Genomic DNA, 13,662 nt, shown 5'->3' on the forward strand with positions numbered 1-13,662 from the left:
TTTTCCTTTTTTCTTTTTTTTGAGACAGGATCTCACCCTGTCACCCAGGCTGCAGTGCAGTGGCATGACCTTGGCTCACTGCAGCCTCAACCTCTCTCAGGCTCAAGCAATCCTCCCGCCTCAACCTCCCATGCAGCTGGGACCATAGGTGCATGCCACCACACCCAAATAATTTTTATATTTTTTGTAGAGACGAGGTTTCACTATGTTGCTCGGGCTGGTCTCAACTCCTGGGCTCAAGCAACCCTCCCACCTCAGCCTCCCAAAGTGCTCAGATTACAGGCAGGAGCCACCAGGCCTGGCCAACATAGGAAGAAATTTAAATTTGAATTGAATATTAGAAGAGATGAAAATTCATCAACATGGAAAGACAAAGATCATTAACTAAAGCCAAACCAGAATGGAAGCTGTGTGTACAGTGGGGTCTCATGCTGGGAACGCGAGGGGCACGTGCAGGGCTCCACGGTGTGGCGACGCCCCATGCTCCCTTTGTGGGGGTTCATCCAGCGGAACATGAGGACCTGGGGTGCTTTTCAACATGTACGTGAGTTTAATAATAAAAAGGTTTAAGGAAAGAAAAATTCATATGTTTCGATATAAACAGAACATCTGGAAAGATCTATTCTAAGGTGTTGACAGTAGGAATCTCTAGGTAGTAGTAATATGGCCTTTTTGAATTTTTGCTTATCAGTATTTTCTAATTTTCTTTTTCTTTCTAAATAATTCTAGCTATGAAATAATTTTCTACCATATATATTTTGTAATAAAAATGGTTATATTTAATTTTTTAAAGGCTGTACAAACTTCCTGATAAAATGGCAAATTAGACACACACATGTGGGCCGGGTACAGTGGCTCGCGCCTGTAATTCCAGCACTTTGGGAGGCTGAGGCAGGCAGATCACCTAAGGTCAGGAGTTTGAGACCAGCCTGGCCAACATGGTGAAACCCCGTCTCTACTAAATATACAAAAATGAGCTGGATGTGGTGGCACACACCTATAGTGCCAGCTACTTGGGAAGCTGAGGCAGGAAAATTGCTTCAACCCGGGAGGCAGAGGTTGTAGTGAGCCGAGATCATGCCACTGCACTCCAGCCTAGGCAACAAGAGCGAGACTCCAACTCAAAAAAAAATAAAAATAACACACACGTGAATAGGCTCCTCATGGAAGTCATCACAACAATGCAGAGGGAAGAGCTTCCAAAGTGTAAACCCAGAAGCGAGGAGCAGGAGGGTGCGCGCAGACGCAGAGAGCAGCAAGGTGCAGACTGAGAGGCGGAGGCTGGCCGTGGGGAGATGACTGATGCTCAGTTTATACCCCAAATCCGTAAATCTAGAGGCGTGGCACATCAACTACCTCTGCCAGCAGGAATGAGGGAAAGGAGGGCAACCAAAAGATGTCCCACCCTCACCCATCCAGCTACCTGCCATCCTCAGCCCCACTGGCAGAAGACCCTGAGAGGTGGAGGCAGGCCCCTGCCTACAGGACCCTGAGAGCTAGGGGAAGGCGTTATCCTGAACTGTGTCCCCCGTAAAATTCATATGTTGAAGGCCTCATCCCCAGTGTGACTGTATTTAAAGATGGGGTCTTCAGGAGATAATTTAAATGAGGTCATATAAGTTGGCCCTCATCCAGTAAGACTTTGACCTTCTGGTGGTTTTTTTTTTTTTGGAGACTGGGTCTCACTCTATCACTCAGGTTGGAGTACAGTGGCACGATCACGGCTCACTGCTGTCTCCAACTCCTGGGCTCAGGTGATCCTCCTGCTTCAGCCTCCTGAGTAGCTGGGACTACAGGTGCTTACCACCGCACCCAGCTGGTGGTGCATTGTGTTTTTTGTAGAGATGGGGTTTTGCCATGTCGCCCAGGCTGGTCCTGAACTGGGCTCAAGTGATCTGTCTCCCTCGGCCTCCTGCAGTGCTGGAATTACAGGTATGAGCCACCGCGCCTGGCCGACCGTGACCTTCTAAGAAGTGAAAGAGAAAGATCTTTCTCTCTCCCTCCCTCTCCATCATGAGGACACAGCAAGAAGTCGGCCATCTGCAAGGTAGAAAGCGAGTCCTCCCAACAGCTGAACCTGGCAGACCCTGATCTTGGACTTCAGCCTTCAGAGCTGTAAGAAAATAACTCTCTGCTGTTCAGGCCACGCGGTCTACGGCAGCCCGAGCAGACTAAGACACACGCCATCTGGGGAGTCAGACCAGATCAGGAAGAAAGGCCTAGAGCTCAGGATACTGAAGGTCCCAACCCGGTGCTGGACCAGACCACCCCGGCAGCCGCGGCCACGGAGTCACGGCTCGGGTGAGGTGACCTGGACACCATCCCGGCAGCCGCGGCCACGGAGTCACGGCTCGGGTGAGGTGACCTGGACACCATCCCGGCAGCCGCGGCCACGGTGTCACGGCTCGGATGAGATGACTCGGACACCACCCCGGCAGCCGCGGCCACGGTGTCAGGGCTCAGGTGAGGAGAGTTGGATATGGGACTGGGCCTACCCCGAGGCTGCTTCCACCCAGACGCCTGGGTGGGTGACACGAAAGCTGGGCTCAGTTGGGATCAGAGCAGCCTCTCCCCAGGTCAGAAATGACCCTGGGCTCCTCACAGTAGCCCTAGGGCACCATGAGAAAGCTACGTGGACTTCTCTGACCAAGGGTCACTGCTGCCACACTACTCATTGCAGGCCATGTCAGGGCTCAGCTGAGGAGACGTGGACACCACCCCAGCAGCCGCGGCCACGGCGTCCCAAGGGAGGGACTTGGGCACTGCCTCTCTGGGCAAGAGTGGGGAGGTGTGGGGTGGGAGATGTCTGGAAACATCATGGACACATGCCGGGAAAACACGGAAGCTGTGCACCAAGGTGCTGACAAAGGAAAAAGGAGAATGGAGGTGTGAACATCCAGCTAGCAGGTCCCACTCAGAAACTCCTGCATTTCCAGACATGGCCACCAGCTCTGTGGATGAGACAGGGGAGGACAGGGTACCTCACACCAGGAACCCACACAGGTCCATGTCTTGCTCTGTGATCACACAACAGCCTCCACCACCCTGACATGCAGGAGGGAGGTCAAAGCCTCGGGTCCAACAACAGGCTCCACAGCAAGGGAAGAAAGGCAGGAAGGAACTCAGGGCCAGGTCCTCCCAGGCAGCAGCTGCCTGCACGCTGTCCACCAAGGGAGGTCTGACCTACACCGCACAGGGGTTGGCAGTCTAGAGTCGTCCTCTGTCAAACGGTGAGAAAGTCAAAAGCTCATGCTCAGTGATATGCTAGGTCAGCATGAAGATGCCACACATGAGACACAGCAAGGATGAGACCAACGGGAAGACTGCCCCAGACCAGAGCCCCAGAGCCCTCTGGGGAGGAAGAATAAGGATGGCAGCCTGGGACTGCCCGGGGCTGACTCTGCCTTTATTTCACCCCAGCAGAGGCAGGAGTGACACCGGCTCACAGCAGGAGCAGCTCTGCCACCTCCTAGCAGTTCCACCTACGGGCAGCAAAACAAAGCTGGCAGTTTGGGCAAATGTTAGCGTTTTTGCCAACTAACATTTGAATCGGACATCTGGTACAGAGATGAGGAAGAAAACACTCACAGTTTCATGAAGACTGTCAAGAAAATCACTGACTCTTCACTTCATTTATGAAAGGCCAGCTCTCTGACATCCCTACCACTCCCTCTCACATGAGAAATCACGGCCTTTCAGGACGTGGAGCCACGTGGCCATGCAGGTACGGGAGGCCTCCCCGCAGCTGCAGCTGGGTCTTCTGGTCCCCGTGCCATTTCTGCTTTTCTTCGCTCTCTACTTACACACACATTTGAGTCCAGTCTCAGAAGAACTGGAACTAGAAAAATCCTGACACTTGTCCCTTACTACGTTAATGCCAGCTGTGCCAAGGACAGCCCAACCCAAGCCCCCATCAGCCCCAATGGCACCGAGGCCCGAGCTTACCCGTGAGGGGCCAAGTTGGTCGTCACCAACACGGTCTTCACCCCCTCCACACCACTGCCGTCCACTGCAGTGTCCGGAGTTGTCACAACCACCACCTCCTCCATGTGCACACTCACGTCGGGAGTCGCCATGGCTCAGCGGAAGGGGACGCCCAGGCCAGCAGCGTCAGTCCTCCAGGGTCCCAAGTCCTGGAGGAAGCAAGGCAGGGCACAGGGATGGAGTCATCTCCACATCCACACAACATAGCACTCACAAAGGCATCTCTAATCAGCTCCAAAGACCCACCCTTGAGTCCCAGACTGCTACCTCCTGACAAAAACGAGCGGCAACAGAAGGGCTACTCCAGGCTCTGGTTCCGAGGGCGGTGTAAGCGCACTCCACCCGTTTTTCCCACTGGATAAGCCGAAACCCTTGGGTAGAAAGCACAGAGCCACTCCCTCCACGTGGGGCTCAGAGCAGGAGGACAGGAGGGGCCTGGAATTCCAAGCAACTTCCCTGGACGCAGGCTCCCGGCTTGCCAGTTCTTCCGTCTCTCCTGGCCTGAACTCAAAGCCAGCCCCAATCCCTGAACTGAGTTTCAGGTGCAGAAAGCACTCCAAGAAGTCCTCGCTGGTCTGTGGAACGGGAAGGGAAACCCATTCAAGACAGAAAGAGAGGAGGGAAACGCCCTGGGTTTTTTTGGGTTTTTGGGTTTTTTTTGAGACGGAGTCTCGCTCTGTCGCCCAGGCTGGAATGCAGTGGCACGACCTCGGCTCACTGCAAGCTCCACCTCCTGGGTTCAAGTGATTCTCCTGCCTCAGCCTCTCCAATTGCTGGGATTACAGGTTTCACCATGTTGCCCAGGCTGGTCTCAAACTCCTGACCTCAGGTGATCCACTCACCTCGGCCTCCCAAAGTGCTGGGATTGCAGGTGTGAGGCACCATGCCTGGCCTGCCCCGGGTTTAAAAATTATTATTATTTTGTCTTTCCTGGCTTTGCCTTCAGCAAGTCCAACCCCTGCTAAAACCCAGTGATAATGGCTGTCCTGGCCCAAAAAGCTTGGAGACAGGGGAATCTTCCTCCTGACTAAAGGAATGGTGGCCCAAGAGTGTGGGGGCTCCCTGTTGCCCTCTCACTCTCCATCCCCTACCTAGCACAGGGAACACAAAAGCCCCTGGTTTCCAGCCAGAGGGCAACGAGCCTGGAGTCAGAGTGTGGGGGAGGCGACAAGAGGAGAGGGGAGAAGAGAGGATGGCACACAGCTGTGTGTGAGCGCCTGGGTCGTCCCAAGACAGTCTCTACGTGGTCCTGACCCTAAAGGGCAAAGGGAAGAAAACTGACCTACAGGATAGGCCACTGCCCAGGTCTCAGATGGGCCCCAGTGGCGCATATGGGACAGATCCACAGTGCACTGGAAAGTCTCTAAAATAAACTGGCCTAAGAACACAGACACAGGAACGGGGTGCAAAATTTGCAGCCTGAACCTAACCAGGTCGATTTCTTGCTATGAAAAAAAAAAGTCTACATTCTCTGTGAAACTTAAAACAAGACCTAGAGTCCATAGCACAGTAGTCAAAGCATCCAGAACACGATCAAACTTCCTGGCAAAGGGTAGTCTGGTTGATTCTCAAAGGAACAAATACACAAGAGAAGCTGGCTCTTGAACGCAGAATCCAGAGACTTTCAGGTGCTATCGGACCAGCTCCAAGAGGAAAGCAAACATTGTCAACCAAGTGGAAAGAAAATCTTGGTATAGAAACAGGAGTTATAACCAAACAGAAATGTGAAAATTAAAAACGACAACCAAAAGAAAATACACAAAGCTGGGATAGTCTCAGCTACTCGGAAGGCGGGGCTGGAGGATCGTTTGAGCCTAGGAGATTGAGGCTGCAATGAGCTGTGATCACACCACCGCACTCCAGTCTGGGCAACAGAGTGAGAACTCTCTCAAAAAACGAAAAAGAAAGAAAGTAGAACAGAAGTGACCAGGGGCTGGGGGAGGGAGTACAGGGAGTTGTTCTTTAATGAGTACAGAATTTCTGTTTGGGATGATGAAAAGCTCTGGAAATGGACGGCGGTGATGGCTGCACAATCACTGTGGCTGTTCTGAATGGTGCTGAACCACACATTTAAAAACAGTTAAAATGGGCTGGGCGTGGTGGCTCACGCCTGTAATCCCAGCACTTTGGGAGGCGGATCGCCTGAGGTCAGGAGTTCGAGACCATCCTGGCCAACACAGTGAAATCCTGTCTTGACTAAAAATACTAAAAATTAGCCAGGCATGGTGGCAGGCACCTGTAGTCCCAGCTACTTGGGAGGCTGGGGCAGGAGACCTGCTTGAACCCAGGAGGCAGAGGTTGCAGTGAGCCGAGATCGTGCCACTGCACTCCAGCCTGGGCAACAAGAGCGAAACTCCATCTCAAAAAAAAAAAAAAAAAAAAAAAAAAAAAAGTTTAAAATGGTTAAATTTTATGTTATGTATATTTTACCGTAATAAAAACACTGTAATGCTACTATAATAGAATGACTCATTAGGATTAGATATAGACTAGAAAGTACAGAATATAAAAACTTTTTAAACAAAGAAAAATTTTCATGGCCAGGCATGGTGTCACACCTGTAATCCCAGGACTTTGGGAGGCCAAGGCAAGAGGAATGCTTGAGCTCAGGGGTTTGAGACCAGCCTGGGCAACACAGCAACACCCCATCTCTGCTAAATAAATAATAAAAAATAGCCAGGCATGGTGGTGTGCACGCCTGTAGTTGCAGCTACTCTGGAGGCTGAGGCAGGAGGATCACTTAAGCCCAGGAGGTCAAGGCTGCAGTGAGCCATGGTTGTGCCACTGCGCTCCAGCCTGGGCAACAGATCAAGACCTTGTCACAAAAAAAAGAAAGAAAGAAAAGAAAAAAGAAAGAAAATAAAATCTTCCAGAACTTTTAAAATCATCATTGTTAATATAAAAATAACATCACCTGCCCCTAGGACTGTAACAAACAAGTGTGTCTAAGGACAGGAGTGGGTCCACCCCAACCTGGCACGCAGTGGTCCCCTGCGGAGAGTCTGGCCCTGCACTCACTAAGGGGAGGCACTCATAGCCCAGCCAGGCCTCTGCAATTATGCCTTCAATGCCAGAACTAACTCACCCAAACTGAACAATCGATCACAAAATGTGCCTTCAGGTCTCAAGGTTCTTGCTAAATCTTACTCAACCGACATTTTCCAGCATGGGAACATTTTTCTGAATGTCTTAGGGAGAGGAAGTCCGCAAGAGAACAAAAGGTCCTCAGGCCACCCTAGCTTCTTTTCCTCCATTCCACAGGCTGTCTTTTGTCTGGGTATGCACTGGACCAGGGGGCTCTACTTCTTCCTACCTGGGCATGGGTCTCCACACAACTCCAAGGTAAAGGGCCACAGGCAAGATAAAGGGGAGAAAAGAAAGCTACGATTTCCTGGGCCACCAATCGCAAATGGCAGCCAGTCTCTGAAGTAACCCTTGACCAGAGATCCAAGGAACCAAGAAATGTAGGTGATCTGAACAGAGGGGATGGTGGTTAAACACCATGAAGGAAAGACCCATTCTCAAAGAAAAGGAAGCAAAAAGAAACCGTGGGGAGCTGGGTACCACCCGCAGCAAAGACCCCGCACGCGTTACTGACGCCAGCCTGGCCTGGGAGAGCAGTGAGTGTGGCGGACGGTGAGTGGCGGGGAGGGCTGTGGTAGGTTTAGGGTAAGAAGGGGCAGCGCCCAGAGCCCAGAGAACACCAGTGAGGGCTCCACAGGAACACTACTCAAAGTATTCACGGAACACATCTAAACACAAGCACTAAGGACTAAGTGCGAGGGACAAGAAAATATTCCCCGTTTCCTGTTTCAGGAGGGTATCGAAAATGAGTGATGGAAGGAAAATGTATTGTTTAAATGAGGAAAAAAAATTTTTACAAATTAAGAACATCCTGGAACATGATGAGCCGTTTACTGTCACTCAATTTAAATGGTGGCCATCTAGGACAGAGCGCCTAAGGGGAAAGGGGGCTCACAGGTGAACCCCTCCAGCTGCTGGTGGGCAATTTCCCATTAGGGCATCAGGGTCTCTGAAGACTGTCTTCAGATGCTTTTTAGCCAGGAAAGTTACAATGATGAATTCGTTTACACTGGCGGAATTACTTCGTATTTCTCAAATATAATGTTTTCACTAGCATAACTTTGTTGTTGTAGACTTAGGCTTCAAAATAAAGAACTTTAAACAAACATGAATAAAAAGCCACTTTAGGCCGGGCGCGGTGGCTCACACTTGTAATCCCAGCACTTTGGGAGGCCGCGGCGGGTGGATCATAAGGTCAGAAGTTCAAAGACCAGCCTGATCAATACGGTGAAACCCCGTCTCTACTAAAAATACAAAAATTAGCCGGGCGCGGTGGCAGGTGCCTGTAATCTCAGCTACTTGGGAGGCTGAGGCAGGAGAATCGCTTGAACCTGGGCAGCAGAGGTTGCAGTGAGCCAAGATCATGCCACTGCACTCAAGCCTGGGTGACAGAGTGAGACTCTCTCTTAAAAAAAAAAAGCCACTTTAAAATTTTACTCAGGCCAGGTGTGGTGGCTCACGCCCATAATCCTAGCACTTTGGGAGGCCGAGGCGAGCAGATCACCTGAGGTCAGGAGTTAGACCAGCCTGGCCAACATGGTAAAACCTTGTCTCTACTGAAAACACAAAAATTAGCTGGGCGTGGTGGTGTGCCCATGTAATCCCAGCTACTCAGGAGGCTGAAGTGAGAGAACTGCTTGAACCCGGGAGGCAGAGGCTGCAGTGTGCCAAGACTGCACCACTACACTTCAGCCTGGGCGACAGAGCAAGACCCTGTCTCAGAAAAAAAAAAAATTCAAAAATTTGGCCAGGCGTGGTGGCTCACGCCTGTAATCCCATCACTTTGGAAGGCCGAGGCGGGTGGATCACCTGAGGTCAGGAATTCAAGACCAGCCTGGCCACCATGATGAAACCCTGTCTCTACTAAAAATACAAAAAAAAAAAAACAAATTGGCCGGGCATGGTGGCGGGTGCCTGTAATCCCACCTACTTGGGAGGCTGAGGCAGGAGAATCTCTCGAACTCCGGAGGCAGAGGTTGCAGCGAGCCAAGATTGTGCCACTGCACTCCAGCCTAGACAACAGAGCGAGACTCTGTCTCAAAAAAAAAAAAATTAAAATTAAAAAATAAAAATTTCATTTAAAATACTACTGATCTCCCGTGCTGACTTCTCGGGGTTTAACTCTCACTGAGGAGACGCTGCTTTCATAAGGGTAAGCTCAGCAGGGGCAACTAAAGTCATTTAAGCAGAGAGCTGCAAAGAGGCAACAGCCTCACTGCAGGCAGGGGTCCTCGTCACAGCTTCAGGGCTTTGCAGAGGATTACGCAATGTACACGCACAAAACTGAATTCCAGCCTCTCCATTGGCAACTGCATACATACATATATTCTTTTTTTGAGACGGAGTCTCGCTCTGTAGCCCAGGTTGGACTGCAGTGGCCCGATCTCGGCTCAATGCAAGCTCTGCCTCCCGGGTTCAAGCGATTCTCTTGCCTCAGCCTCCTGAGTAGCTGGGATTACAGGCGCCCACCACCACGCCCGGCTAATTTTTGTATTTTTAGTAGAGACGGGGTTTCACCATGTTGGCCAGGACAGTCTCGATCTCCTGACCTCGTGATCCGCCCGCCTCTGCCTCCCAAAGTGCTGGGATTACAGGCGTGAGCCACTGAGCCTGGCCTCCAATGGCAACTATATTAAAGGTTCAAAGCAATATGCACAAAAGTTACCTCACAGAAAATAGTGCAAGTCCTTGATACAATGCTCTTTAGACACAGAAGAAGCACTATAGAATAGAGCACCTCGCCCTATTGCCTTCCCAAGGGCGAGCACCCCCTCCTCTCTCCACAGCTCCTTCTTTGTTTTTTTGAGATGGAGTCTCGCTCTGTCACCCAGGCTGGAGTGCAATGGCAAAATCTTGGCTCACTGCAACCTCCGCCTCCCGGGTTGAAGTGATTCTCCTGCCTCAGCCTCCCGAGTAGCTGGGACTACAGGCACCCAACACGCCTAGCTAATTTTTGCATTTTTGGTAGAGACGGGGTTTCATCATGTTGGCCAGGCTGGTCTCGAACTCCTGACCTCCAGTGATCCTCCCACCTTGACCTCCCATAGTGCTGGGATTATAGGTGTGAGCCACTACACCTGGCCTCTCCACAGCCCCTTCTGTGTTGAAGCCAAGACCCACCCAGCTTTGATCCCAAGGCTTGGGTTCCCCACTAGTGTGAAGTGAGTTTCCAAATTATTAGGTAAATCAGATATGAGAAAATATTTTATTTTACTTTTTTTTTTTTGAGACGCAATCTTGCTCCGTCACCCAGGCTGGAGTGCAATGGCACCATCTCCACTCACTGCAACCTCTGCCTTCTGGGTTCAAGCAATTCTCCTGCCTCAGCCTCCCAACTAGCTGGGATTACAAGTGCACACCACCACGCCCGGCTAACTTTTGTATTTTTAGTAGAGACAGGGTTTCACCGTGTTAGCCAGGCTGCTCTCAAACTCCTGACCTCATGATCCGCCCACGTCGGGCTCCCAAAGTGGTGGGATTACAGGTGTGAGCCATCACACCTGGCCCAAGAAAATATTTTTAAACTAGTATTCTTGACCGGCACGGTCAACACTGATGTAATTGAAACTGTTGTATTTGAAGTGTTAGCAAAGAAAGAGAATTCTGGTTCAACAGAAAAGTCAGTCACGACTTTTCAGTCACGCATGAATTACACAGTAACCAAATAGATAACATGCCATGACTGACGACGGGCCCACAACAAATCAGCTCCGACCAACAGGGTCCACACCACCATGGGTCTACACAGATCCAGGTCCCGCCTGTGAGCCTACAGTGACGCGGGCCCCTGTGGGGTGGTCCCTGCAGGTCAGGTCCCTGAGAGTGGGTCCCAGTGGGGTGATCCCTGCGGGTCGCGTCCCTGCGAGTTGGGTGCCTGCCGGGTGGCCCCTGCGGGTCGGGTGCCTGCGGGGTGGTCCCTATGGGTCGCGTCCCTGCGGGTCGGGTGCCTGCGGGGTGGCCCCTGGGAATCGCGTCCCTGCGGGTCGGGTGCCTGCGGGGTGGCCCCTGGGGATCGCGTCCCTGCGGGTCGGGTGCCTGCGGGGTGGCCCCTGGGGATCGCGTCCCTGCGGGTCGGGTGCCTGCGGGGTGGTCCTTGTGGGTCGCGTCCCTGTGGGGTGGTCCCTGTGGGTCGCGTCCCTGTGGGGTGGCCCCTGCGGGTCGCGTGGTGGCCCCTGCGGGTCGGGTGCCTGCGGGGTGGTCCCTGTGGGTCGCGTCCCTGCGGGTCGGGTGCCTGCGGGGTGGTCCCTGCGGGTCGCACCCCTGCGGCGTGGTCCCCCCGGGATGGGTCCACCGAGGAGGCCGCTGGAGGCCGAGCCCGCGCCCGCCCGCGGCGCCAAGATGGAGGCAGGAAGCGCCGCCGCCCGCGCCCGCCACCGCCCGCGCCGCCCGCCTGACGCCGCCGTTGCGCCTGACGCCGCCGCCCGCGCGGCCGCCCCTCCCCCGGCCCTCCCCTCCCCCCGCCGTAACGTCCTGACGCTCCGCAGGGACCCCTGACTGGACGGCGGCGCGTGAGCGGAGCGAGAGGCCTCGCCGCGGGGGGGCCGCGGGCTCGCCGGCGCCGCTTACCTGGGGCCGCGCCGGGCCTGCTTAGGCACCCGGCGGGGGCGGCGGCGTCGGGAGCTGCGGCGGCGGCGGGCGGCGGCGGCGGCCGCGGGCTTCGCTCCTTGTTGGGGATTCGGCGGCGGCGGCGGCGCGGGCGCGCGCTTCCTAGTGACGCAGGCGGCGGGGCCGCGCACGCACGGGGCTGGGAGGGCCGGACACTTATTTGGCGCTCGCGGAGGAGGAAGGCGGGGCCGTGAAATAAGGCCCGACGGGCCCCGGGGCGCGTGCGCGGACCGACACTGTCAGCTCCTAACGCCGCAGGTTCCTCCTGGTCCCCGAGGCCCCCGGTCGGGCGTTGCCTGCCCCGCGCGGGCGGCCGGGCCGAGGGACGATGGTCAGTGGACGGACGGCGCCAGGGAGCAGTGCCCACGCGCGGCAGGGCGGTACCTTCAGGCCTCCAGGTACGGGCGCTCCTCGCCCGGACGCTGCTGTGTGTGAATGGGCGCGAGGGGACTCCCCTGCGGGGCGGACGCCTGAACACGAGGCTGTGGAGGAGGACGCTGTAGGGTGCGCGGACTCACGCGGAACATGCCAGAGGCTCAGCCAGCCACGGCGCTCCCAGCGTGGAGGGCGAGGGGCATCCGGGAGCGGCCGGGAGGGCTCGGTCACCCCTCAAGCTGTCACCCCAGTCCCACAACCAGCACCCCGATCCTATCGCAGTCCCACAGCCGACACCCCGATCCCACCCCTGCCCAACAGCCGGCACCCACCCCAATCCCATAGCTAACACCCCGGTCCCACCGCTGTCCCACGGCCGGCACCCCGATCCCACCCCAGTCCCGCAGCTGGCACCCCGATCCCACCCCAGCCCAACAGCTGGCACCCACCCCGATCCCACCGCTGTCCCACAGCCGGCACCCCGATCCCACCCCAGTCCCGCAGCCGGCACCCCGATCCCACAGCCGGCACTCACCCCGATCGCATAGCATAGCTGATACCCCGATCCCACCCCAGTCCCATAGCCAGCACCCCGATCCCACCCCAGTCCCATAGCCAGCACCTCGATCCCATAGATGACACCCCGATCCCGCCCCAGTCCTATAGCCCGCACCCCGATCCCACCCGAGTCCCGCAGCCGGCACCCCATCCCACCCATGTCCCACAGTCGGCACCCCGATCCCACTCGGATCCGGCAGCCAGCTTGGATCCTGTGGCCCTCCTCCAGCCCCCAGGGCTCATTTATATGTTTTATTGGCAGAGGCTGGGGCTGGCTCTGTTGGCCTCTGTGCTGGGTTTCTTCCTCTGCACCGCAGGACTGGCTCTCCTGACCTCTCCAGGTGTCATCGAACACCCTTGTGCTTGCTGTCACCCGCTGCCTGTCTGCAGGATCCCGGATTCCGTATCAGGGGACCGAAATTAGTCGGAAAATAGGAAGCAGGTGCTCGCTTGGATGGAACCCTGACCCTGTGCTCACACTTGTAGGAGGAGGGCTCTGCAGGCCGCCTCCCGGAACGGGAGGTTCCCAAGCCACTGCACTTCGGAGGGGCTGTAATTAGAGTTGCACATTCATTCAGTTCCCAGTAAAGTAGAACGTGCTCCAGCCAGTGAGGAAAAGGTGTTTTTAAAAATTAGATTGGCCGAGTGCGGTGGCTCATGCCTTTTACCTCAACACTTTGGGAGACAAAGGTGGGAGGATCACCTGTGGCCAGGAGTTCAAGACCAGCCTGGGCAACAGAGCCTGTCTCTGGGGAAGAATAAAAAAAAAAATTGAGCCTTTGTCAGTGCTACTATTTTATTATCTGGTAAATATGAGAGGGTTCACGCGGTCTATGTGTGTCATTTATCTGAGTTTGCCTATCGTCACGTTTTGGAAATAAATGTCAATAAAGTCGAAGAGGAGTGCTGAGGGGGGCCTGGGGATGGGAGGGTGGCTACATCATGCCTGTGTGTTGCGCAAGCCCACCGAGGTCGGCCTGGGGTGAGCCCTGGGGCCTGTTCTGCCTCCTTCACTCTGGGGCTCCAAGAGACAAACTGGGCAACAAGAGAGAAACT

General features: G+C 54.6%; 1 protein-coding gene and 1 long non-coding RNA gene across 6 annotated transcripts in view, besides 7 other annotated features; one reads left to right on the forward strand and one right to left on the reverse strand.

Annotated features, from left to right (window-relative positions):
- GMEB2 (glucocorticoid modulatory element binding protein 2) overlaps positions 1-11,780 on the reverse strand; it is a 39,497-nt gene extending 27,717 nt beyond the window's left edge. The window contains exons 1-3 of one of the 4 annotated variants that reach the window (XM_005260202.5): positions 11,327-11,421; positions 4,252-4,559; positions 3,946-4,133 (exon numbers count right to left, since the gene is read on the reverse strand). In XM_005260202.5, coding sequence (XP_005260259.1) covers positions 3,946-4,076 — 131 coding nt within the window. In that variant the 5' untranslated portion in view covers positions 4,077-4,133; positions 4,252-4,559; positions 11,327-11,421. Of the gene's footprint in view, positions 1-3,945; positions 4,134-4,230; positions 4,616-11,326; positions 11,422-11,634 lie in introns of those variants that run through there. The other 3 variants (NM_012384.5, XM_047440106.1, XM_047440105.1) reach the window with 3 other exon arrangements.
- Positions 1,849-2,048: an enhancer, noted in NCBI's record as "active region_18235". NCBI's record gives its function as "activates an Ori minimal core promoter by ATAC-STARR-seq in GM12878 lymphoblastoid cells {active_cell/tissue: GM12878}" and the evidence as "EXISTENCE:reporter gene assay evidence [ECO:0000049][PMID:35858748]".
- Positions 2,643-2,812: an enhancer, noted in NCBI's record as "experimental_61197 CRE fragment used in MPRA reporter constructs". NCBI's record gives its function as "activates a minimal promoter by MPRAs in K562 erythroleukemia cells, with activity observed for the introgressed 20:62249402 variant allele {active_cell/tissue: K562}" and the evidence as "EXISTENCE:reporter gene assay evidence [ECO:0000049][PMID:34662402]".
- Positions 4,007-4,506: an enhancer, noted in NCBI's record as "H3K4me1 hESC enhancer chr20:62250681-62251180 (GRCh37/hg19 assembly coordinates)". NCBI's record gives its function as "activates a minimal SCP1, AML or CMV promoter by ChIP-STARR-seq in primed H9 embryonic stem cells {active_cell/tissue: H9 hESC(primed)}" and the evidence as "EXISTENCE:reporter gene assay evidence [ECO:0000049][PMID:30033119]".
- Positions 5,936-6,105: an enhancer, noted in NCBI's record as "experimental_61208 CRE fragment used in MPRA reporter constructs". NCBI's record gives its function as "activates a minimal promoter by MPRAs in K562 erythroleukemia cells, with activity observed for both the introgressed and non-introgressed 20:62252695 or rs6089940 variant alleles {active_cell/tissue: K562}" and the evidence as "EXISTENCE:reporter gene assay evidence [ECO:0000049][PMID:34662402]".
- Position 6,021: a transcriptional cis regulatory region, noted in NCBI's record as "Neanderthal adaptively introgressed variant 20:62252695 (GRCh37/hg19 assembly coordinates) or rs6089940 in the experimental_61208 CRE". NCBI's record gives its function as "modulates activity of the experimental_61208 enhancer by MPRAs in K562 erythroleukemia cells {active_cell/tissue: K562}" and the evidence as "EXISTENCE:reporter gene assay evidence [ECO:0000049][PMID:34662402]".
- Positions 11,142-11,681: a silencer, noted in NCBI's record as "silent region_13167". NCBI's record gives its function as "represses an Ori minimal core promoter by ATAC-STARR-seq in GM12878 lymphoblastoid cells {active_cell/tissue: GM12878}" and the evidence as "EXISTENCE:reporter gene assay evidence [ECO:0000049][PMID:35858748]".
- Positions 11,772-12,221: a silencer, noted in NCBI's record as "silent region_13168". NCBI's record gives its function as "represses an Ori minimal core promoter by ATAC-STARR-seq in GM12878 lymphoblastoid cells {active_cell/tissue: GM12878}" and the evidence as "EXISTENCE:reporter gene assay evidence [ECO:0000049][PMID:35858748]".
- MHENCR (melanoma highly expressed competing endogenous lncRNA for miR-425 and miR-489) lies at positions 11,914-13,503 on the forward strand. Of its 2 annotated transcripts, none has more exons than NR_132417.1 (2): positions 11,914-12,071; positions 12,869-13,503. It is a non-coding gene; the product is annotated as a melanoma highly expressed competing endogenous lncRNA for miR-425 and miR-489 (long non-coding RNA). The 2 variants fall into 2 exon arrangements; NR_132418.1 differs by having other exon boundaries at positions 12,948-13,387.
- Positions 13,504-13,662: the final 159 nt, after the last annotated feature.

This window comes from Homo sapiens, chromosome 20 (assembly GCF_000001405.40).
Source record: "Homo sapiens chromosome 20, GRCh38.p14 Primary Assembly".
Lineage (NCBI taxonomy): Eukaryota > Metazoa > Chordata > Mammalia > Primates > Hominidae > Homo > Homo sapiens.